At 33.1% G+C, this 26,614-nt stretch overlaps 1 long non-coding RNA gene across 4 annotated transcripts in view, besides 1 other annotated feature; it reads left to right on the forward strand.

Annotated features, from left to right (window-relative positions):
* LOC105370467 (uncharacterized) overlaps positions 1–26,614 on the forward strand; it is a 186,853-nt gene that overhangs the window by 158,640 nt on the left and 1,599 nt on the right. For 2 of the 4 annotated variants that reach the window (XR_007064132.1, XR_007064133.1), the window contains 2 exons: positions 7,218–7,372; positions 14,426–14,474. This is a non-coding gene — a long non-coding RNA (uncharacterized LOC105370467). The remainder of the gene's footprint in view (positions 1–7,217; positions 7,373–14,425; positions 14,475–26,614) is intronic. The other 2 variants (XR_007064130.1, XR_007064131.1) reach the window with 1 other exon arrangement.
* Positions 955–1,725: an enhancer, noted in NCBI's record as "NANOG hESC enhancer chr14:41328024-41328794 (GRCh37/hg19 assembly coordinates)". NCBI's record gives its function as "activates a minimal SCP1, AML or CMV promoter by ChIP-STARR-seq in naive H9 embryonic stem cells {active_cell/tissue: H9 hESC(naive)}" and the evidence as "EXISTENCE:reporter gene assay evidence [ECO:0000049][PMID:30033119]".

Here is a 26,614-nt window from a genome sequence, read left to right on the forward strand (position 1 = left end):
CTGAAAATAGACTTACATACAAGATGTGTAAGGAAAGTAAAATGTGTCTTTAGTAAAATAATATAAGAAGGCCTGAGAATGTAAATTTCTGCCTAGTTCGCAGGGTTTAATGATTGTTTTAAATCAGATAAGATAAACCTAAAGGCTAAAACAAGTTATGGAAGGTTTATAAAAAATTAATTTTGTAAAAGGAATCCTGTGTGTGAACATATTGACTAAATTTAAAAAAAATCATGTTTGGTTTTCCACAAACTGAACATTGGAATAAAAGCACAACAAGCATTTATTGAGGATTTCTCTGTAAGGTATTACTTAAAAAAATGGGGGTGGCATTAATAGACTAATGTAAGGGTGAAATTTGGCTCCCTCTTGAACAAAACTTTTGTGCAGTGAAAGATTTTTGTGTGCAAACTACCAAAAAATGAAGTGGAGGACAAGAGACAGGTTATTTGGAAAACTAGGTCTTCCCTCTTAATGAGTAAAGGTTTTTGCTTTTTAAAATAAATTTGAGCCATCATTGGCTAAATGAATATCTTATGATAACATGAAATTCTGTTAAGTGTTTTGAGCCTTTTCAGTCAAAATTGTCTTTCCTAACCCCTAAATTTGAATGCTACACAGGGTCCCTTGAGTGTTCAAAGGAGAAGTAAACAGGATTATTTGACATGTTTAGCTACACAAGATTGTTGAAATAAGGTAGTGTTTGATCTTCAGGTTATATTTTAGAGAAAAATGTTAATGTGTGTTCCAAAATTGACAGGGATTTCTAGAGTTCTGTTGTCTGAGTTTGTGTTATCAATCATAATTAAGGTTATTGTGTTAGGTTTTTGCATGTCACAGAGGTGACCAAATTTCTTTGTCAATTGTGTTTTTGACTGTGTCTACCCTAGGACATTTTGACATCCACAGACAAATGTTGTCTTGTTTTGAGCCCCTTCAAAGGATAGATTATAACCCTAAAGTGCAAGTTTCTGATAATTTTGAAGATTGTGAACAGGAGGTGACTGTGTGAACTGAACTATTGAAAGACTAATCTTTTTTGACTTTTTGCTTTTTGCATGGAACAATGCTGATCTTTATGTTTTGTTTTTTAGAATTGATAACATTTCTCTTTTGAGCTATTTTTAGCTTTTGACAAATCTAGGGTGAACCAACCAGTGATCTCTGACTGCAGCTCAGAAGAAACAGGGATGGGCCATCAAACTCCAAATAGTCATGCAAATCATGCTTCAGATGATGGCTCCTTTGTACTGGGGATCCTGAGACAGGCCTCTGAGAGAGAGACCTAACTGTCATTTTCCTGAAACAACACCCTTTGTTAGCAAGAAGCTGTTAAGAGCAGTCATTGTCCCTATGCTAACAGCAGTTAGGTGTACTGATCTCGGAGAGGGGTTGGAGCCAAGCCCTGAGGCAATGAATGGCAGTGGGAGGTGAACAGAGTCCTGTGCCCATGACCACCCATGGACCAGTCAGCACAGACTTCCTCCACTCTGAGGTCCATAAAAGCCCTAGACTCAGTCAGAGAAGGGCAGAGGATGGCCAGAGGACAAAGAGGGCAGAGTGATGATGGGATGGGACAACCAGCTGCAGAGAGGAGTACCCTCTCTGCTGATAGCTGGAGACATCAGCAACCGGCAGAGAGGAGCTACCTTTTTTGCTTAGAGCTTCAGAGACCTGCAGAGATGTCTGAATGACTTGCCTGTGGAGAGGAGCCTTCCACTCTAGGGCCTCCTCTCTGCTGACAGCTGAACACTCCATGGGATGACCTGCCAACAGAGTGGAGCTACCCACTGTGGATATCCTCTGAGCTGTTCTAACACTAAATAAAACTCTTCATATTCTTCACCCTTCATTTGTCTTTGTACTTCATTCTTCCTGGGTGCAAGAGAAGAACTCAGGCAAATGCACCATGGCCACAGAGGTTTCCAGCCAGAAAAATCCACACCCCTGATATCCTGTAAAAATAGCATTCAATGGTAGTTTTTCAATCCTTGGCCTCCTCCCTGCCTACCCCTTTTGAAATCCCCATGGTCTATTATTCCCACTTTTTATCTGAGTGTGTCCAACGTTTTCTTCTCATTTGTAAATGGGAATATATATTTGGTTTTCTGTTTCAGCATTAATTTACTTAGAATAACTACCTCCAGCTGCATCCATGTTGCTGCAAAGAATATTCTTTCTTTTTTATGACTGCATAATAATCCATGGTTTAAATGTAAAACATTTTCTTCATCTAATCCACCATTAATAGGGATCTACATTGATTTCATGCCTTTGCTATTGTGAATAGTGCTGTCATAAACATGTGAGTACAGATGTCTTTTTTGTAGAACAATTTATTTTCCTTTGGGTATATATCCAGTAATGGGATTTCTGGGTCAAATGATAATTGTATTTTTAGTTCTTTGAGTAATCTTCTTACAGCTTTTCAGAGAGACTGAACTAATTTACAATGCCATCAACAAAGGGCAGGCATTCCTTTTTCTTAACAATCTTGACATCATCTGTTATTTTTTGACTTTTCCTTTTTTTTTTTTTTTTTTTTGAGACAGGGTCTCATTCTGTCACCCAGACTGTCATGCAGTTGTGTGATCTTAGCTCACTGCAACCTCTGCCTCCCAGGCTCAAGTGATTCTCCTGCCTCAGCCTCCTGAATAGCTGAGATTACAGTTGCATGCCACTACTCTCTGGCTAACTTTTTGTATTTTTAGGAGAAATGGGGTTTCACCATGTTGGCCAGGCTGGTCTTGTACTCCTGACCTCACAATATCCACCTGCCTTAGCCTCCCAAAGTGCTGGGATTACAGGTGTAAGCCACCATGCCTGGCCTTTTTGGCTTTTTAATAACAGTCATTCTGACTGGTGTGAGATGGTATCTCCTTGTGGTTTTGATTTGTATTTCTCTGATGATTAGCGATGCTGAGTGTTTTTCATGTTTGTTTGAGAAGTGTCAATTCATGACCTTTCCCCACTTTAAAATGGGGTTATTTTAATCTTTCTTGTTGATTTGTTAAAGTTCCTCATAGTTTCTGGATATTAGGCCTTTGTCAGATGAATGGTTTGTTAATACTTTCTCTCATTCTGTAGGTTTCTCTCATTCTCTCATTCTGTCAAGCCTGCTGATAGTTTCTTTTGCTGTTCAGAAGCTCTTAAGTTTAATTAGATCCCAATTTTCAGTTTTTGTTTTTGTTGTGTTTCCTTTTAAGGACATAGTCAAAAATTCCTTGCCTAGGCCAACATCCAGAAGAGTATTTCCTACATTTTCTTCTGGAATATTTATAGTTTGAGGTTTTGCATTTAAGTTTGATGCATCTTGAGTTACTATTTACATGGTGATAGGTAGAAGTCCAATTCTGCACATGGTTAGCCAGTCTCCCAGCACCATTTACTGAATAGGATGTCCTTTCCCCACTGTTCATTTTTGTCAACTTGGTCAAAAATCAGTGGGTTGCAGGTATGTGGCTTTACTTCTGGCTTCTCTATTATGTTGAATTGTTCTATATGTTTATTTTTGTATTAGTATCATGCTATTTTGGGTAACGTCGCCTTATAGTGTAGTTTAAAGTCATGTAATGCAACGCCTCTAGCTTTGGTCGTTTTGCTTAAGATAGCTTTGGCTATTTTGACTATTTTTTGGTTTCATATAAATTTTAGAACAGATTTTCTCTAATTGTGTGAAGAATAACTTTGATAATTTGAGAGGAATTGCATGGAATCTTTGGATTACTTTTGAGGCAGTATGAACATTGATTCTTCTAATCCATAAGCAGGGAATTTTTTTCATTTGTGTCATCTATGATTTTTTTCAGCAATATTTTGTAGTATTACTTGTAGAGATCTTTTACTTCCATGGTTAGATGTATTCCTAGGTATTTTATTATTTTTGTGTTTTTTTGTATATAAGATTGTATTTTTAATTTGGTTCTTAGCTTGAACATTATTTATGTATAGAAATGCTATTGAGTTTTGTACATTGGTTTGGTATCCTGAAACTTTACTCAAATCGTTTATCAGGTCTAGGAGACTTTTGGCAGAACCTTAGGTTTCCTAGGTAAATAATTATGTTTTCAATGAAGAGAGATAATTTGACTTCCTCTTTTCATATTTGAGTGCATTTTACTTGTTTCTTTTGCCTGATTGCTTTTGGCTAGGATTTCCATTTCTATGTTGAATAGAAATGATGAGAGTGCCATCCTTGTCTTGTTCCAGTTCTTAGGAAGAATGATCCCAATTTTTGTCCACTTGGTATGATATTGGCTGAGGGTTTGTCATAAATGGCTCTCATAATTTTGAAGTATGTTCCGTCAATGCTTAGTTTTTGTGGATTTTTATTATGAATGGATGCTGGATTTTATCAAATTCTTTTCCTGCATTTATTGAGATAATTATATGGTTTTTGTTTTTAATTCTGTTAATGTGGGGAAAATGCATTCCTTTTTTTTTTTTTTTTTTTTTTTTTGTATAAGTTAAACCATCTTTGCATCCAAGGAATAAAGCCCACTTGATTGTGGTCAATTATTTTTTTGATGTGCTGCTGAATTTGGTTTGCCAGTATTTTGTTGAGAATTTCAGAATCTGTGTTCAGCAGAGATATAGGTCTTTGGTTTTATTGTTGTTGTCTTTACAGGAATTTGGTATGAAGATAATACTTATTTCATAGAATGAGCACACCTGTAATCCCAGCACTTTGGGAGGCTGAGGCAGGTGGATCACAAGGTCAGGAGATCGAGACCATCCTGGCTAACACAGTGAAACCCCATCTTTACTAAAAAATACAAAAAATTAGCCGGGCGTGGTGGTGGGCACCTGTAGTCCCAGGTACTCAGCAGGCTGAGGCAGGAGAATGGCATGAACCCAGGAAGCGGAGCTTGCAGTGAGCGGAGATCGTGCCACTGCACTCCAGCCTGGGTGACAGAGCGAGACTCCATCTCAAAAAAAAAAAAAAAGAATGAGTTAGGGAGAAATTGCTCCTCCTTGATATTTGGGAATAGTTTCAGTAAGATTGGTATTAGCTCCATTTTTTGTGTCTGGTAGAATTTGGCTCTGAGTCTATCTGGTCCAAGGCTTTTTTTGGTTAGTATAATTTTTATTGCTGATTTAATATTGTAACTCATTATTAATGTATTCAGAGGTTTAATTTCTTCCTTGTCCAATCTTCGGAGGTTGTTTGTTTTTCAGAATTTATCCATTTTCTTTAGATTTTCTACTTCGTGCACATAGAGATATCCCTTGTAGTCTCTAATGATTTTTTATATTTCTGTAGAGTCAGTTGTAATGTCACCTTTGTCATTTCTAATTGTGCTTGTTTGGAACTTGTCTCTTTTTTTCTTTGTATTTATTTAGTGATGGGTCTCTGGATTTTGTGTGTCTTTTTGAAAAGTAACTTTTGGTTTTGATCACCTATCTGTTGTTTCTTGGTCTCAATTGTGTTTAGTTCTGCTCTAATTTTAAATATTGACTTTCTTCTGCTAGGTTTTGGTTTCATTTGTTTTCATTTTGCTAGTTACTTTAGGTGCAATGTTAGGTTGCTATCAGAGAGCTTTCTACTTGATGTAGGCACTTAGTGCTATAAACTTTTCTCTTAACACTGCTTTTGCTGCATCCCAGAGGTTTTGATACATTGTGTCATCATTTTCATTTGTCTCAAAGAACTTTTTTTATTTCTGCCTTAATTTTCTTCAGGAGCAAGCTGCTTTGTTTTCATGTATTTGTGTGATTTTGAGCTTCTCTTGGTATTGGGTTCTATTTTTATTCCATTGTGGTCTGAGAAAATACTTGGTGTGATTTCATGTTTTTCTAATTTGTTGAGACTTGCTTTATGACTGAGCATGTTCTGTGTGGATATGAGAAGAATACATACTCTGTAGTTGTTGGGTGAAGTATTCTGTATATGTCTGGTAGATCCAACTGTCCACGAGTAGAGTTTACATTTAGCATTTCTTTGTTAGTTTTTTGCCTCAGTGATCTGGCTAATGCTGTTAAAGAGGTGTCGAAGTCTTCCACTATTATTGTATGCCTTTCTAAGTCTTTCTTAGGTATAGTAGTAATTTATTTACAAATCTAGGTGCTTCACTGGTGCTATTTATTAAGTATACTTAAATTGACTTGTTGAATTGAATCCTTTTCCATTAAGTAATTCATTTCCTTGTCCTTTTCTATTGTTGTTAATTTAAGGTCTCTTTTATCTGATACAAGAATAGCATTCCCCATTCTGTATGACAGAACTTTCTCTATCCCTTATCTTTGGGCCTATGGATGTAATTACATGTGAGATGGCTCTCTTGAAGACAGATGGTTGGATCTTTTTGTATAAATCCAATATGCCACTCTTTGTCTTTTAAGTGAAGCATTTAGACCATTTACATTCTAGGTTAATATTGATATGTGATGTTTTGTTAATTTCATGGTGTTTAGATTGTTTCTTTTAGTTTTGATTGTGTAATTTTCTTTATGTGGTTTGTAGGCTGTGTACTCACTTGTGTTTTTATGATAGTGAGGACTAAACTCTGATTTTTATCTAGCTCAAATTCTTATCTAAGGTGTCTGGGGAGTCATGCCATACAAATCATAGATTCTCATTAGATGGGTTTTATTTAACCCTATATAGTGTGATTTATTTTCCAACCTGACTCTGGCATAACATTATGAGACAAGGAAGAAAATAAAAATATTTTACCCCAAAACATGTTTCTTTGCCATATTTTGAAATGGGCCTGCAAAGATATTCTTTGTGGGGGAAAATTTGCATCTGTAAATAACCTCTGTTAATATAGCTAGATATTTGCTTCCAGACCTTCCCAATCCTAAAGAGATTAACTAAGATCTGAAAGGGAAACACTTGTTATCTATTGTCTCTAAGGGCAGCTATTATAAGACTTCAAAAGAACTTTGGTCTCCACAATCTTTATCTTAACCTGAACCTTCCCTTTCTATCAATCCCAGGTCTTCAGACAAACTCAACCAATTGTCAACCAGAAAATGTTTAAATTCACCTATATCCTGGAAGCCCCCCACTTTGAGTTGTTCTGCCTTTCTGGACCAAACCAATGTATTTTTTAAATGTATTTCATTGATGTCTCATGCCTCTCTAAAATGTATAAAACCAAGCTGCACCTCGATCACCTTGGGCATATATTCTCAGGACCTCCTGAGGACTGTATCATGAGCCGTGGTCTCTCATATTTGACTCAGAATAAATCTCTTCAAATATTTTACAGAGCTTGACTCTTTTCATTGGCAATAAATGGCGCCCCAACATGGGGACTCAGAGAAGACTCAGGAGCCCCAAGCAGTTGTCCGAAATCAGAGCTAAGGTACCAGCCAGGGTTAATTGAAGACTCACCAAGTTCAAGCTTCTCCTTTGGTGGAACTGGTAAGTCCTCCTGAGCCCTGTACCTCCCATTTTGGTTGATGGTCCTCAATTTATTCTGAGCTGGTTTTTCTCCTAGGAATTTGTTGTTTAAGGATTGTAATTTGAGTTTGTATATGCATTTCTAAAAGGTCTTCCCTATTGCTTTTTCTCTCAGACATAATCTCAATTTGGATTATCTCCATAAGGAACTGAACTTTGATAATTTACCTAGGCCACAGCTCAGTTCCTCCTTTAAAAAAAAAAAGTGTGGGGAAGAAATAATCTAAGAATAAGAAAAAAACAAGGAGAAAGAGCCCCCCTTTGGGCACTCCGTAGGTTTTATGGCACCTCTACTTCTTGCCAGAGTTTATGTAAAATGGTAATAATATGGTCTTTGTGCACATTTTACATTAAGGAAAAAGAGACCTAAGGTTGACCTGCAAACTATAGAATTTTTAAGTTTTCTTTCTCTATTTTCTTTTCTGCCTGCTTTAAATCTGCTGTGAGTTTTCTACTAGGGGAAACAAAACAAAACAAAACAAAACAAAACCACAACAACACTGTTTGGATCTAACAGGTTTTGTTTTGTTTTTTCAACTTGGGAAATTTATATTCATCTCATGGCCATAGTACTAAAGTAAAGTTATAGGATCTTTTTGTGTGTATGTTTATGTATATATATATATATGTATGTGTATATTTAAAGGCCTTTTTAAATTGTATAATTTTACATTTAATTGGCAGTTAAATTTGTTTTAATTTCCCTCTAGCACACCAAACTTTTTCTCCCCATACCTTATGATGTAAATTTTGTTACTTGATCTTAATCTGAGTTGTTTCATTTAATATGCAAATTTAGGGCTATTTAGCTGACTACTTCCTAGGGTGATGCAACATGTTATCAAGAATTTGAAAGTTCATCAATGTAATGGACTAGCTGAAGGCAAATTGCTTCTGGTGAGCCTTATGGACAGGAATGTAGAAAAAGGCATTTGTCAAACCAGTGGCTGTATATCAGGTACCAGGAGATGTGCTAATTTGTTCAATCAATGAAACCACATCTGGTAATGCAGCTGCAATTGGAGTCACCACATGGTTAAGTTTATGATAATCCACTGTCATTCTCCAAGATTCATCTCTCTTTTGCACAGACCAAAGAGGAGAGTTGAATAGGGATGTTGGGAATCATCACCTCTGCATCTTTCAAGCCCTTGATGGTGGCACTAATCTCTGTCATCCATCCAGGGATGCAATATTGTTTATTATTTACTATTTTTCTAGGTAGAGGCAGCTCTATCGGCTTCCATTTGGTCTTTCCCATCATAATAGCCCTCACCCTACCAGTTAGGGAGCCAATGTGGGGATTCTGCCAGCTGCTAAGTATGTCTATACCAACTATGCATTCTGTGGCAAATGACCACAGGATGAGTCTGGGAACACACTGGAGCCAATGTAAATCAGACCTGAGATCAAACTCCATTAATTGCCTAACCTCCATAAGCCGCTACTTTAACTGCAGGACCATAATGATGTTTTGGGTTCCTTAGAATCAATGTCAGCTCAGAGCCCGTGTCTAGTGGTTTCCAAAAGGTCTTATCATTCCCCTAACCTCAGTACACATTTACCCTGCCAAAAGGCCAAAGCATTAGTCCATTCTCATGCTGCTATGAATTAATATCTGTGTGTGTAATTTATATATATGTGCATATATAATATATATTCTCTCTATATATAATATATATGTTTTATATATATATATATATATATAAATAAGTTTAATTGACTCAGAGTTCTTCATGGATGGGGAAGCCTCACGAAACTTAGACAATCATGGCAGAAGGAGAAGCAAACACATCCTTCTTCACATGAAGGTGGGAAGGAGAATTGCCAAGCAAAGCAGGGAAAAGCCCCTTTTCATCAGATCTCGTGAGAACTCAGTCACTATCATGAGAACAACATGAGGGAACCACACCCATGATCTAATAACCTCCCCTGAGGTCCCTTTCCCAATACTTGGGGATTACATTTCAGATTACAATTCAAGATGAGATTCGGTTGGGGACACAGAGCCAGATCATATCATTGTGAACTAATGATTTAAATTTAAGACCTCAAACTATAAGAGTCCTGAAAGACAACTTAGGAAATACCTTATCGACACTGGCCTTGGCAAAAAAATTTTGGCCAAGTCCCTAAAAGCAATGACAACACAAATAGAAAAGTGGGACTTAATTAAACTAAACAGCTCCTGCAAAGCAAAAGTAATAATCAACAGAGCAAACAGACAATCTACAGAATAGGGGAAGTTATTCACAAACTGTATGTGACACAGATCTAACATCCGGAATCTTTACGGAACTTAAATCAACAAGTAAAAAACAAGCCCATTAAAACTGGGCAAAGGACATCAACAGACACTTCTCAAAAGCAGACGTAGAAAGTAGTGTCTATCTCTTCTAAGGATTTTTTTTTTAATTCGAAAACAAAAGTGTATTCAGCCAAATTGTTGGTTTAAGGTTACCTTTTGGCTGAACTATTCACATGAAGCAATTGAATTCTAGTCTACTCTATAAAAATATATGCTTCTTAAAGAAAGATAGTGTGTCAATAAAAAATGTGAAAAATTATATCAATACAAAGGCAATCCCTGTCACATGTAAAGCCTATTTTTATGTCACAAACACAATTTTTTCTGAGAATAGCTTATCATTTCTATGTTTTCCTCAATATTATTTTAAAAAAAAAGCAAGTTGTGAATGTAAGCAATGATTTGAAAGCAAGGTTAACATAATACTCTTCAACATTCCTGTCATCTTCCAATTAAAACTAATAGGATAATGTATGATGACAGTACAAGTCAATATTAATGATGCAATTAACTTTCTAAATTGAAAATATAAAACTTGTGACAAGGTGAAGCATTTTTGCTTGGTTTATTTTTGTTTTGCCTTTTACTGTTTCCATTTAAGCAACTAAATATTTGTGGATAGCAGCCAAAACAAGTTTATCTTCTATTAAATTTCATTTTTTAGAATTTCTAGGGTCATAAGTGGTTTCCAGTGTGCAGAGAAGTGATTATAAAGTTACAGAAATGTTTTAATCTATTTAGCTAAGGGTTCTTTGAAATTACAAATCATGTAAAGCAGATTACATTAGCCATCATTTGCAAAGGGTTTACTTTGTATAATGTTATTTTTTACATATGTGGCAAACTTATTCGATGATGCTTCAATTGCTTAAAATATTTTTGGGAATATAGCTTCTGAAACTTTCTCCAAAGATATGATTAAACCACAGAATATGACTATATCTTCACACCCTTTCTGGACAAAATTATTATTCCTAACATTAGTTTTATGGTTTCTAAAAAATTGAATATATCTCTAAATAATAGCAAATCCTTTCCTAAAGATAATGTAGCTATTAAAATTGAAACTATTGATTCATATTTTACCAATTGGTAGAAAAAAATTCTCAAAAATAATTTCAAATAATAATTGTATTATATGTTTCTTCCAGTTGATTTTATAAGTTGTCATATGCTAAGAAGTATTTAAAAATTGAAATATTTATGTCTTTTGTTTTTTTGTATTTAATTCAACTTCTTAAAGTAATTCTGAAAATAACTGAATAAAGTAATTCTGAAAATAACTGAAAATAACTTCTGAAAATAATTGCTTTTTCACTTTAAGTAATTTTGTCACCTTTTTTCAGAAAAACATATCAAATAATATATAACAATAGTCTGACATGTAAAAATAATTTTACAAATGGTGTCACTGATATTATTAAATTTCTTAGAAAATATATATTATTAAATAATTCTCTTTTAATAAAAAAATCACTAAGTATGTTTTTCTTCTCTCAATTGTGTATCTTTTCATCTAATTAACTAGTTGAATAAAATACACTTGACTGAACAATAAGGGTTTGAACTGCAAGGGTCCACTTACCTGCAGATTTTTTTCAGTCAATTTCTCCTACCTTCCCTTTTACTTTCTCTATTTAATTTGCCTCTGCAACCTCTGAGACAATAGGACAATAAGACCCTTCCTCTTCGTCCTCAGCCTACTCAACATGAAGATGATGAGAATGAAATCTTACAGGTGATGCAAATGATGATCTATTTTCACTAGTGAATAATGAGTTTATTTTATCTTCCTTATTTTTTTAATAACATTTTATTTTCTCTAGCTCACTTTTTTGTAAGAATACAGTACATAATACATATAAAATACAAAATATGTATTAATTGACTTTATGTTATCAATAAGGTGTCTGGTTAACAGTTAGCTTTTAGTAGTTAAAATTTGGGGGAATCATGTATTATATGTGGAGTTTTGACTACATGGTGAGGGGAGTTGGTGCTTTTCACCCCTGCATTATTCAAGGGTCTATGTACTATACAACCCTAATTCAATAACACTTTCTGGCAGAACCTTGTCCTAAAAATAACTCTGGCTTATTTAAGTATCCTTTACGCATGATAAATATTTAAAATCATGCCAAGGACATGTTCTGACTTCCTAACAATTTAAGTTCTGGAGTCAGACTACCCGCGTTTCAGTCTAATTCTAATTATTGTTACCTTAGAAACATTTTACCTGTCTCCTTCAGTAAACATCTGGGCCATGGTGATAGTAATAATGATACATATCTTATGATGTTGGTCTGGGAATTAAATTAAAAATTTCATCCAACTACTTAGCACTTTATATGTCATTTAGAAATTTTATAGCTTTTTTCATGATTTTCTGCCCAGGACCACATGTTCAGGTGATACAAATTATTTTAAACTTGGTCTTACCAAAAATGGTTATTAACAAAAGTAAATATCAAATTCCTGCAACTAAATAAGCTTTCTCAAAAGCAAATAAAAGACTTTAAATTCTCTTTTTCTTAATCTTTGTTCTATAGCTTTTGTGTATTAACTTTGAAAGATGCAAAGCATCACTTCATCTCTTTGTTTCTGCCTCATGAACACTGACTTCCTGAATACAGAAAAATAATTTAATTTGGTGCTGATTGCAGATTTTCTACCAATTTATTTTTCTGATGCATCATGCTTGTTTGATTATAAGCACATCTTTATTTTCTGTTTGCAAATTTTATAGTGTAATTTTAGAAGTAGCCTACATCAGGCATCTCAAAATTATGAATGGCTTTTAAGCTAGTACATCGAAGCCATTTCACTTTTTTTTTCTTCTATTTATTCATTTACTAAACCACTAGAGGGAAATAAAGCACATCATCCTTTTCCATAGTGAATGCCAATGATTGGGTTACTAGACCTTATCAAGGCTCTGACTTTCATATTTATTCTAGCAGCTATACTCTTCTTCTCTCACAGTCAAAGTAAAGGCAAGATAATATTCCTTCAATTACATAGTTTTCAGTATGCTAATAACCTTTAATCTCAGCTACATTGTTGAGAGCTAAAACAAGAATAAAGAAACTCTGGGCATAGACTTATTTCCAGATGTCTGTGTTGGCAAATGAAGAAGACATCTCATATAATGTGCCTTGAAATTGTTTCAAATATTTTAAGCAAAAAATAATGTATATGTCTACTAATTTACATAAATTACTCTAGAACATAAATATGAAATGTGAAATATAATAATAATAGCAAAATAATAACAATTTATATAAATGAAAGGCCAAACTGGTATTAGGTTTTACTTCCCCTTACTTATCTCTTCCTTTAAAAGAAAGATTGAAAGAGAGATGATTCAGTGCTTGTCAGATAAGGCAGGTCTTGAGAAATTACTTTTCACACTAAAATAAGATGAAAATATGTCATAATAATGGGAATCATTACATTTCTTTTTCAGTTTTGCATGTGTAACTTTTGAGTAGGGTACAATTAAAGAAATGAAAATGGTTAATAAATAAATATACCACACTGGAGTGTATTTTATAAAATTTCTTTTCTTTTTATAATATATGTTTTTTATAGAAACTTTGAATAAAGATATCACATTTTAAGAATTCCTAAGTAGCCATTGGAGGTACTTAAGCATGTTAAAAGGCTAATGGGAATTGTGTATTTGCCCTTATTTAGTACACATATACTTAAGTTAGAAACATATTAATTTAGCTTGCTGCTCCCCTTATCTAATCCCCCAACCCCCTATGTTCAACTCAATTATATATATCCCATATGCTTTATCATTTGTATTTGGAGATATATGTTGTTGTCAGTTTTGAATTATAAATGACTTTTTTTGTTGTAAATTCTACCAATACGTATTACAAGTGTTACTTAAGACAGTTGGCAAAGAGTTAGTTTTAATTTTTTTGTCCATCCATATCACTATTACCTTCCTGTAAAATTACTGTAATACAATTAACAGTGTAAGGATAATATTTCCAAAAGATTCTGGTATTCTGATCATAACCGTGATTTTGTAGTATTAAGTAAGATTGTAATTTTTTCGTGGATTTTCAAAATATTTAAATTTTTAATTCGAACACATTTCAAACATAAAATAACAAAATAATTTTACATATAATCATATGTTCTTTTTTGTAATTAAACCTCCATTATATTAACATTAGCTCATTTTATTTTTCCTTTTAGAAATAAAATCTTGCAGGCACAGGCAAAAGTCCACATACTGATTCTTTTCTCTTTCTCATTCCCCAGAGCTAATCAAATTTCTGAAATTGGCATCGTTTCTATATTTCCTACTATTTTTTGTGTATATTTTAATATGTAATATTCACACCACATATAGCATTGCTTTGCTCTGCTCCTTAAATTGTTACATAATAATGGACTCAAGAAGCTATTTATGATTTTATATGTAAATGTAGAGGAATGAATTTGGCCAGAATTATTCCAGCTAAGTATCGTCCTTTTTGATTTTACTATGAAATAAAATGACACTAAAAATATGCACTTGGGGTTCAAGTTCTGGATAAGCTATGTAGTCATATGCTACCTTTGTGTCCTAAATTGAGCATTAAGCTGAGGACTCTAATAAGTAAATAGAGTAGGTAGAATAAAGACACCAGAATTCAAAATACCATAAAAGTTTCAGTGAATTTATCATTTTTCTCCTTCCATAGTCTCCCTGGCTTGAAATCATTGCACCAGAAGAGGCACTGGGACACAGAGGTAATTTCAAGAAATATCCTCTACTTCCTGATAAAGGAATGTGAAGGGAAACTTTTAACACTTACAGACTGTGTATTCTTATATTTTTGTTTATTTTCTTTTCTCCATTCTTCTTTGTGCCAGTCCTCAAACAAATATAGAGAGACGACCCTGAGTTTGTTAAGAAGCATATACTGAAACACTACAGCTAGCATACTACTTGAAAATTAGTGGTTTTTTTCCTGAGAGTGGGAACATGTCATGGTTATCTACTCTTAGTACTCTTATTCAGCATAGTACTACAAGTTCTAGGCAATGAAATAAAGCAACAATAAATGAATGAATGAAACAAAAGTTATTCATATTAAAAAGGAAGAAATCAAACTGTTTTTATTTACAGGTGAAATGATCTTTTTATTAAGAAAATACCAAGGAATCTAAAAAAAAAAAAAAGAACAATAACAACAACAACAAAAACTGGTAGAGTTAAAAAGGAAGTTCATAATGGTCATAGAATACAAAATGAACACACAAAAATGTATTGTATTTCTACATACTAGCAACCAATATATGGACACCAAAACTTAAATGTTGCAGTATCATTTACAATTGTCCTAGATGTAATTGTAACAAAACATGTAATAGATTTGTATCTTAAGGCTAAAAAATTCTAATGAAAAAAATAAAAGATATAAACAAATAATACCATGTTTAAATAAAACATACAGTGTTCATAGATTGGAAGACAGAAAAGAAAGATTTAAATTCTAACCAAATTAAACAGATTTAATCCAATTCTTATAAGAACTCTTGAAAGATTATGTATAGAGAGATACGTGATTATTCTAAAATTTATGTGGAACAGCAAAGGAAATAGAAAACCAAATTATTCTTAAAAAAAATAATAAAATAGGGGCTGGGCGTGGTGGCTCATGCCTTTAATCCCAGCACTTTGGGAGGCCGAGATGGGCAGATAATGAGGTCAACAGATCAAGTCCACCCTGGCCAACATGTTGAAACGCCATCTCTACTAAAAATACAAAAGTTAGCTGAGTTGGGTGGTGCATACCTGTAGTCCCAGCTACTTGGGAGGCTGAGGCAGGAGAATTACTTGAAACGGGAAGTGAAGGTTGCAGTGAGCTGAGATCACACCACTGCACTCCAGCCTGGCAACAGAGCGAGACTCCATCTCAAAAAATAATAATAATAATAATAATAATAAAAAAATAGGATCATGGTACCTGAAATTAAAGTTCATCACATAATTACAGTTATCAGTTGGAATTTGTGGAAGAATAAACACCTTGATTAATAAAATAGAGGACTCAGAGATGAACTGTCAACTGAATTTGACAAAGGAACAAAATTAATGAAATGTTAAATTAAATTTGGCATAAAGCTACCTCCATACTTTGAATCTCTACCTAGAAAACTGCAACCTAACTTATTATGTAAACTGAAATGTTACTTAGAAGTATATTCTTGTAACAAATAGTTGAGTCCCAGTCAATCACAGTAACTGAGCTTCAGCCAATCACAGGCTGCCAACTGACAAGACCATGTCCATATAAGGCAAATGACTAATCATACCATGTATAAATAAGTCAGCTATAACTGATCAAGCTGTTTCTGTACAATCCTTCCTTTTTCTCTATAAATACTTACTGTCCACATTGCTGAGTGAAGCTTTCTGAACCTCTCATTATTTTGAGGGCTGCCCAATTCATGAATTATTTTTGCTCAAACACATTTTGCTAAATTTAATTTATCTAAGGTTTTACTTTTAACAGAAGGAAGGATAGACTTTTACTAGAGTAATAGGACTCCCGTAGGCAAAACAAAGGTAAAAAATAAAAAGAAAAACTAAGCTAAACATTACATCCTATACAAAAATTAGCTCACAACACATTACTATACATATAATGTTACAAATAATATGTTACAAATATACAAAACAATATTGATATGGCTTGGCTCTTTGTCCCTGCCCAAATCTCATCTTGAATTGTAATCCCCATGTGTCAAGGGAAAAAAACTGGTGAGAGGTGATTGGATTACAGCTGCAGTTTCCCCTATGCTGTTCTCGTGATAGTGAATGAATTTTCATGAGACCTGATGGTTTTATAAGTGTCTGACATTTCCCCTGCTTGCTCTTCTCTCTCCTGCCACCATGTAAAGAAAGTCCTTGCTTCACCTTCGCCTTGTTCCATGATTATTAGTTTCCAGAGGCCTCTCTAGCCATGTGGAACTGTGAGTCAATTAAACCTCTTTCCTTCATAAATTACCCAGCCTTGAGTAGTATCTTTATAGCAAGTGTGAGAATGGACTAATATAAATACTATAAACACTTTATGAAAAAAAATTGAGAAAATTGTCAGAACCTAGGGTAAGCTAAGAGTTCTTAGACTTAACACTGAACTGTGATCCCTAAAATAAATACAATCTATAATTTGGACACAATAAAAATTAAAAACTTATTCAGTTAAGTAGATGAAAAGACAAGTTACGGGCTTGGAAAAAAAATTTGCAAATCACTTATCTGACAAAATATTCATGCCCAAATTACATAATAACTCTCAATAAAACTGTTCATGTATAGACAAAATACATGAACAGATATTTTACTGAGTAGAGTGCTAAGAGGTAGAAAATAAGCACATAGAATGCTGTTTATTATCTTAGTCCATTAGGGAAATGCAAATTAAACCATAAAGAATTATAAGTACACATCTAAATATACATTATAATACCTAAAATTAAAAGTAGTGGCAGCACCAAAGTTTGGCAGAAATGTGGAGAAGTTGGAGTACTCAAACATCTCTGAAGGGAATGTAAAATGCTTCAGTCACTTTATACTTTGTGAAACAAATTGGCAGTTTGTTAAAAATCTAAAAGGAATTACTAAACACTGAGCAAGTGTAATAATCCTACTTTCAGAGAAATGAAAACTTATGTTCACCCTCAAATTTGGTAATGGTTATTTGTTCATAGCAGCTTTATATGTAATAACCCAAAGCAGTAAGCAACCAATACGTTATTTATGGGTAAATCATTAAACAAACTGTGTTATATACATATCATGGAATACTACTCAGCAATAAAAATGAATAACTATTGATTCAAGCAACAACTTCGATAGATCTCCGAGAATTATACTGAGTAAAAAATAAAAACACCCCAATCCACAGATTAATGCTTTATGATACCTTTTACGTAATACTATCACAATGGCAAAATTATAGAGATGGAGAAAAGTTAGTGGTTGTCAGGTGTTAAGAATAAGGGCACAGATTGGTCAGGAGATGGGTAGTTACAAAAGGGCAACATAAGAAATTCTTGTGGTGATAGACTTGTCCTGTATCTTGTCTGAATTAGTGCCAATATTCTGGTTGTGATATTGTACTATATTTCTGCAAGGTATTACCACTGGGGTATTGGGTAAAACGTACAAGGGATGTTTCTATATTACTTCTTACAATTTCATGTGAATCGTCAATTAAATAAAAAGTACAATTAAAAATAATTTTGATTACTTTATTCAATGAGATAAAAGTCTAAGATTTAGAATTTTAGTAGAGAAGTGGAAAGTAAAAGTAACATATGGAAAAATAGAACCCATGAAACTGAAAAATATAATATATAATATTAACAAGTAAGGTGACCTATTTAAGAACATATTAGAGAGAGATGAAGAGAGAATTAAGAAAATGTTGGGTAAAATAGTCAAAGTGAAACATAGAGAAATGACAGGATAGAAAATTCAGAAGAGCAAATAGGAGGGAAAGAAGGTAAAGTGAGAAATCTTCATATATTTAAATTGAATTTTAGAAGAAGATGTAAGGAATAATGGAAATTTCCATGAATGAGTAATTTCCAAATCTGATAAAACATATCAAGTTGTAGAATAAAAGCTCTGTGAATTAAAAGATGGAACAATGAAAATCATCTACATTATAGGCGATTACAGTGCAAGAAAAGACAGATAAAATTTTGAAAAAACAACCAAAGAAAAAAGAAAGCTTATATTCAAATTAGCAACAATTAAACCACTAAATATGTTGCTCTTCAACAACAATACAATTAATATAGCCATGAAGACACAAAAACTATCAAAATTTGGCAAATGTATTCATATTAATAATAACATTTAAAAAGTTATTTTCGGACCTAAAAACTGAGGGAATTATTACCAGAACATATGCACTAAAGAAATTCTAATGACTATTTGCCAGGCAGAATAAAAATAATACAAGCTGGAGGATCAGAGACACAAGAAGTGTCCAAAAGCAAGAACAATTTTAAGTATGTGAGTAAATTCTAAATTAACTTAAATGTGTAACATAATTTTATATAGTAATATAGTAATATTTATTGTTATATAATTATTATATTGATATACACACACATATATGAGGTTGAATTGTGTCCCCCAAAAATTCATACATTGAAATGCTCATCTCCAGTACCCCAGAAGGCTCAGAATGTGACCTTATGTGAAAATAAGGTCATTACAGGTGAAATTGGTGTAGATTAGGTCATACTGGAATAGGGGGACCCCCCTAATCCAATGTGACAGGTGCCCTTATAAATAGAATACTGTGAGATCAAAGCAGAAATCTGGGTAATATAGTTGCAACCAAGTTGCATCAAAGAGTGCCAGAAAACCATCAGAAGCTAAGAGAGAGCACAGAGCATATTCTTCCTCACAGCCCTCAGAGGAAACTAACCTTCCCAATAGCTTGATCTCAGACTTTTAACCTCTAGAACTTTAGGGCAATAAACTCTTATTCTTTAATGAAGCCAGTTTCTGGTATTTTGTTACTACAGGTTTGTTGTACCATATATATATATATACACATCATATATATATACACACACACACACACCCCATATATATATATATATATACACACACACACACCCCATATATATATACCTTGTATATATATATACTATATATATGACATATATATACATATGGTATATATATGACATATATATAGATACACACATATATACGTATATAGATTTGAAAACACTAGAGTGAGTTAACATGTATTAAGGGCCTTTTACTGTCCAAAAAGTAAACAGCAATAAGAAACAATTTTGTATGGTAGTAATCAAAGTTTCATGTTGTAGTCTGCATATTAATCAATAAAAATGTAGTAAAATAATGTTTAACAACCACGGAAATCATGAGAAAAAAGATCAACTATTAAAACAATTAATTAAAGAAGTCACAAATAGAAAATGGAACAAAGAGTAGGAAAATTATAAGATGAGGAATTGAAACATAAATATATCAGATTTCCTCAAATATAAACTTGCTGAAGTTGACACTTAATAGAAAAATTTCCTCAAATATAGACTTACTAAAGTTGACATTTAATAGAAAAATTTCCTCAAATACAATTTTGCTAAAGTTGACATTTAATAGAAAAATATAGTTAGGTTAGATTTATGGGGAGAAAACAAACAACCTCTATGTTGTTCATTGAAGCAAAAAGTATGCAAAATGTTTGAAAGAAAAAGATGGACAAAGATGTCATGCCAACCTTAACTAAATAAAAGCTGGTGCTACTATATTAATATCAGACAGGTTGTCTCTAAGACTGAAACCATGACCAGCAGTATGCTGAATGACCTTATAGGGATAAAGGGAACTTCAACTACCCAAGATGATGAAAATTCTTAATGTGAATATGCATGGCGAAATAATGAAATATAATCCACAAAAATACATATTTACAGGAAGAAGTAGGCAAGTATAAAATTTACTACAATTTTGTGACAACTTGTAGAAAATGATGAAAAATTCTGGAAAGCTTAAGTAAATATATAACAAACTGAAAGAAAATCAGAAAGTTTGACCAAATGGATATTGTATCCCTAACTGCAGGATGCATGCTTGACCAAAAGGAAACCTCAACACATTTCAAAAGATTGAAATCATAGAAATTATGTTATCTGAATAGATTGAAATTAATGTGTACATGAATAACAAAAAGATAGCTGAAAAAGTCATACCTTGAAATTAATAAATGTACTTCTATAAATTGTAGTTGAAGAAATCACAGTGTACATAAAGACAGTGACTATACAGCAAAACATAGAGAATGTAGCTACCAGTATCTCTCTATAAGGGACAAGGTATAAGAATGAATGCATATATCATAAAAGATCAAGTAATGACCATTATCTTCAGAAGACAGAAAAAGAACAATAAATGTAAAGAAGTAGCAATTCAAAAACAATATGTACATGAGTAAATTAGCAAAGTCAACACTTGTTCTTTGGAAAAAACATTAATAAACAAAATGTTCATGCAACTAATATAAAACAAAAAGTACAAATACAATGAGTAATTTTAATACATATGATATTAGGTATTAAAATAGTGACATCACTATAGAGTTTTCAGATATTAAAAATATAGTATGAAGACATTTTGAACAACTTTACCACAAGTAATTTGAAGTTTTACACAAAATGAACAAAATTAGAAGAAATGTAAAAATATTTTTGTAACTTTGGCTGATGAACTTTGACATTGTTTTTAATCCAGATTCCAATTTTTCTGTTCACCTCCTTGCCCAGGTGTGCTGTGATGTCAGTCCAGTCGAAAGGCTTACTGTTTGTGCACTTCATACTTGCATCTGATGCATCTGTTGCTACCACTCATCCTCTTGAGCTCACTTCTGATTTTAGCCTTGGCTATGGTGGGAAATCCCATGTGGAATTAGACTGAGTTTCAGTTGACAACATCTCACTTCAACTACTCTTTGTTTTTCCCCTGGGACTTCTCCGTCAGCACATATATCAGAGTTATACAGGCTGCACACAAGTGAAATTCAAAAGTGTGCAGATTTAATACCATGAGGAAACCTCTCAAGCTTTTGGAAGTTAGGGGACTAAACAAATGTATTAAATGTTCCTGGCTCTGTACACCATCCTTTAGGTAGAGAATAATGGCAGGCATTTGGGTGTTTCTCAGGAGTTCCCAGCAGAATCGACTACCTTTGCCCAGAGCAGTAATCTTAGTAATGCACACACAAGTTGTCTTTTTCTCCTCTCCTGCATCGTTAAATAAACTACAAATATATGAGTAGAAATTGAAGATAATACTAGAACCTGGAGATCGTTTCTTTCTTGAAGAAGTACATCAAATTATACAGCAGATGCTCAGATGTAGGAAGTTCTAGTTCAACATAGAGCCTCTGTGGACACAAGTGGAAAATACCTGACACTGAGCTTTTATGTAACAACATTCTTTGAAATTGAACTACATATGAAGTTATCTCACTTCCTGTAGGGAAAATTATTCTGACTAAATAACAAACCTGAATGTAATTAAATACATGTACCAAAAGTAATATAGTGGCTGCATGTATATGGACAACACAATATGATTTATAAATCATTAAAATTAGAATGCCAAGATTATTAGTAAAGTGTCTAACTAACCCTGATAATGCAAAAAGTAAAAAGCCTGTGTTTAATTTGACATCAATAAGCTACTGCACAGAATATTGTACAGACACTCTTTTTCTCCTAACCTTCACTACAACACTTCCATGTAGATATTATTATCATTTTATAGATGAAATAGCTTCAAAAGCATTAAGTAGTTTTCTTGGAAAGTGGCACATCAATTCATTTGTCACTATTCTGTCTCAGAATCCATAATCTTTCAGCTATGCATGGCCTTACTAAATCAACATCTATTTCTGTATTTCAGCTTTTGCTTCCATTTCTAATAGTCTAAGTCTTTTCCAGAATTAAAAAATTCTGCAAGCCCCAAGAATTTTCCTTCATTTATTTAATTTAGGTGCTATTCTTTCTTCTATAAGCAGTAACTCTGTTTGTGAACATACACTCTTCTCCAAGATTCTCCATAGCTGTGTGCTGGTCAGTGTTAACAAATTAAATACCATGTCTCTTGCTATGGAAAATCTTCAGGATTCTGCTCCTTAAAGCTGTTTAGTGCATACACTACCCACTTCTTCTAAACATGAGATGTTCCTTGTAATGGGCTGATTCTCTACTTCTCACCAGCTCAGTCTCTTAGGAGCACAGTATAATGAAGATACAATTATGATAACATGTGTAAAATAATTTTGTTAAAAAATTGAAAAGAGAAACAGAAATGAACCTTAAGAAAGAAAATGATCTGCCAGATTATTAACAAATTGATATTAAAAAAAACAAGAACTAAAAATGAAGTTTTTTAGCTTTTAGTTTCTTGTTGTTGTTTTTTTTTTTAAACAAAACCTTTTAAGGAAGAACTTCAAGAGGAATAAAATCAGATTTTCTGGAAACTCTAAGAAATGTGAGGTCACTCTAATCCTAATGAAAAGTGACCTCATGATTAATTAGGTGCAATTTTATAAATTGTATCTAAGCACAGCTTCTGCATTTAAAATGTTAAGTGGTAACAAACTGGTCATTTAAGTGACTAACATTTATAAAACAACATTTGCTTGACATTTAAATATAAGTTAAATATAAGTTTTGACTAGGAGTCCAATACTTATTAAGGAAAAATTATTGTGAAAATTGTTAATGATGACAAGAAATACTTTGCTCAAGAAGGAATTACTACTGCAGTGGGGATTTGTAGTAGGAAGGAGAGATTAGGCTCAACTTTGAGAAAAAGGAAAAATAGGGATTTATAGTCAAGGAAGTGGGGAAAATTTCTAAGAGGAAACATGAGGGGCAAGGGGTATTTAGTATTCTTGCTGAAATCAGGCCAGGGTGAAATCAGATGTCACCTGTGGGATGGTAAGGAATTAGATATTTGATCAAATATCAAAGATAATTAGATACCAAAGGAAAGGGTTCTGAGTAAAATGACTTAGCCAAGTTCTTGGGTAATGCAAAGACAGACAAGAAAGTCCAAAGGCCAAGGCCTTGTCTAGGTCATGGCTTGGTGGAGCCTGAGCAATGTTTGGTCAAGAATCCTTTGTTATATTTTACAGTGTACTTCCTCTGTTATTTTATAGTGCTTACCTCTGTTAGCTACAATATTAGCCTTAGAGTTTTGTTTTGTAATAATAGATAGATCATATTTTCTACATGCCCTTGTTTAGAAGTACAAAATGTTAGAATAGGAAGGGAACTTAGGGTATCACTAAACACAATATGTTCATTATATGTCACAAAAATTGTGGTGCAGGAATATGATAGATGCAACATTAGAACACACATTTCAGAGAACCAAATTTCTTCATTGTAGTTTTATACTCTTTTTGTTATATAATACTGAGATATGAAGCCACATTTTTAAATGTTCACAAAGTTTATCCCTTTTAGCAAAAGAATATTCAGTGTTCTTAAATGAAGTTATTCAATAACTGCGTCCAATGGAATAAAATTGGCTTCATTTAAAATTCACAAGTTCCTTAAATGCTAACTTTGGGGTCCTACTTACAATGTTACATAATTAGTTTTAATTTCATAAGATTTTTTATTTGATTCTAGCTCTGTAAACCATTTTCTTTTCATGAGGTTTTTAGGTACATGTGATTAATGTCAGCCAATATTTGATAATGTCATACTCTTATTTTTATAAAAAGATTTCAGCTACATTAAATGTGTCAACTTTGAAGTTTGGATGACATCAACTACATGATCAGTGGGAATTTTGAAGTAAAACTGTGGAAAATTCTTTTTGATTAACAACTACTGACTTACATCTTCTATGGTCAATAAATTATAATAACAAATTGTGACTTTATCCTTAGATTATGCAAGTTTCTTTGAATATAAAATAGTACATATTAAGACTATTCAGTTTCATATTACATGCTATATTAGGATCTGATCCAGGATTTAATTAATTTTAAATAACATATGTACAAAAATTCCCTTAACTTTTATGAAATCTAGTTATATTGTCATTGATTTACATAAGATATGTAGCAAGCACTTCATGCTTTATGAAATGTCTATTTCCCAGGTTCCACTGATAATTCTGGCAGAAGCTCTCAACCATCATTTCAAAGCCAGTATTTATATTGAAAGCTGAGTAATTTAGCATAACTTCTACATAAAATGTCATCCTATAACATATTCTACCTTTGAAATTACAAAGACATTTACAAATTGCAGTATAAGTTGCAATTTCCTCAATTTGGATTCCATTAGAATTACCAAAGGAGAATCAAAGGCAGTGAGAAAATTGCCTTGAAATATAATTGGTTTCAACACACTCTCAAGGCCCAGAATGATTATATTAACTTCTTGCAACTATTTTTTAATAGTCTACAACTTAAACTTTTTAGTATCTCAACAGAAAAAAATATATATTATCACTCACTACACATTGTATACCTCAAACAGCCTGGTTTTCAGAGTACCTACATCATTTATTTATTTAAAATTTATATTTTAGATTTATAGTTCTTGTTGCTGGCTACATAAGGGTTAACTGTTATCATTATTATTGCTATTAGCAGAACTTGTGAGAGCCATTAAAAATTAATTATTCTAATTAGGACCCAATGTAGCTATAGAAACTCACAAGCGATAATAGTACTGACAAACATTTGTTAAGCCTTTACTTAAGGAAAGTACACAGTGATTTACAAATATAATTTAATTTATAATTTCATTTATTCTTCATTTAACCATCTGAGATAACTCTTCTGTTTTCCATTTTTGAAAATGAAGCCATCTAATTAGGTCGAGGCCACACAGACATCATCTGAGTTCAGGTTATCTGACATTTTACTATTGTCTGTACCTATACCCAAATTTTGAAATCAATCATACTATTTTTTTTTTTTTTTCTTGAGAGGGAGCCTTGCTGTGTCGCTCAGGCTGGAATGCAGTGGCATGATCTTGGCTCACTGCAACCTCCACCTCCTGGGTTCCAGCAATTCTCCTGCCTCAGCCTCCCGAGTTGCTGGGATTACAGGTATGCACCACCACGTCAGGCTAATTTTTGTATTTTTAGTAGAAATGGGGTTTCACCATGTTGGCCAGGCTGGTCTCGAACTCCTGACCTCAAGTGATCCACCCACCTTGGCCTCCCAAAGTGCTGGGATTAGAGGCATGAGCCCCTGCGCCCGGCCAGAAATCTACCATACCTTCATGAAAGCGCACACACATGCAGAAACTGTATCAGCATTGTCTTACTATGTTGTTGTCTACCAGTTGGCAAAATTTTAATAACAAAGGTAAATTTTAAATATGTTTGGGAGTAATTGAGACTTGAGAAGGCATTAAATGAGAGAAGAGAGTGGAAATGTTCACATTTAGTCAATGTCATTTCAACAGCTATGAGTTAGAAATGAAAGATTATGAAATGATATTTAGGTTTTGATGATACTGATAATAGCTATTATCTTACAATGAAGGTCCAGCATGTGTAAAGCACATCACATGCATCATTTTTCCAGCTTCACTAAACTCTTAGACATTTATTATCCCTGTTGATGATGATGAATCTGAAATGTAAAGTTAGTTTATCAAAAATAACCCAAGTAGTTAATGATAGAGCCATAATTAAACCCATAGAGGGAAGATATTCACTGTAATAAGAGAGCAGGAGAAACTGCCACACAAACTTGTGGCTATTATTTTGAAAGCTGCTTTAAAAATAAAGGCTAGATGACAACGGCTAAAATTGCCGTAAGAACTAGGAAAATAATTGGATGAAAATCAATTTGTTTCAACATCCTTCTGGTCTTCCTGACCACATGAAAACCTATGTTTTTCCATATCTTAGTCTTTATATTATAATTCATAACTGACCTAAACATTCACACCACTTATTTTGATCATTTTATGACCTACTTAAGGGCTGAAAGTGTCTTACTTCTGGCTGCATATGGCAAGTTTATATGTGAAACAGTTAAAAATGTTTCAAAATAAGATTGCTAGAACATGACTTTATCGAGCCCTTAAAGCATTGTGTTCAAAGATGATAGTTTGAGTTATATTTAATTCATAATAATGAAAATCAATATCTTTATTTAAGTTAGCTCATTTATTAAAATATCTTTAAGCAGCAGTTATTATTAGTGAATTTTACTGACAAGTATATTGAGATTTAGATTGAGGCTTTTGTGTTTTAGTTAGACAAAAATAAGCAGTAACTTCGGATTCAGGAAAGCTGAAGGCAGAACTTATGTTTTTAACTATTTTCATAATTGCAC

This window comes from Homo sapiens, chromosome 14 (genome assembly GCF_000001405.40).
Source record: "Homo sapiens chromosome 14, GRCh38.p14 Primary Assembly".
Classification (NCBI taxonomy): Eukaryota; Metazoa; Chordata; class Mammalia; order Primates; family Hominidae; genus Homo; species Homo sapiens.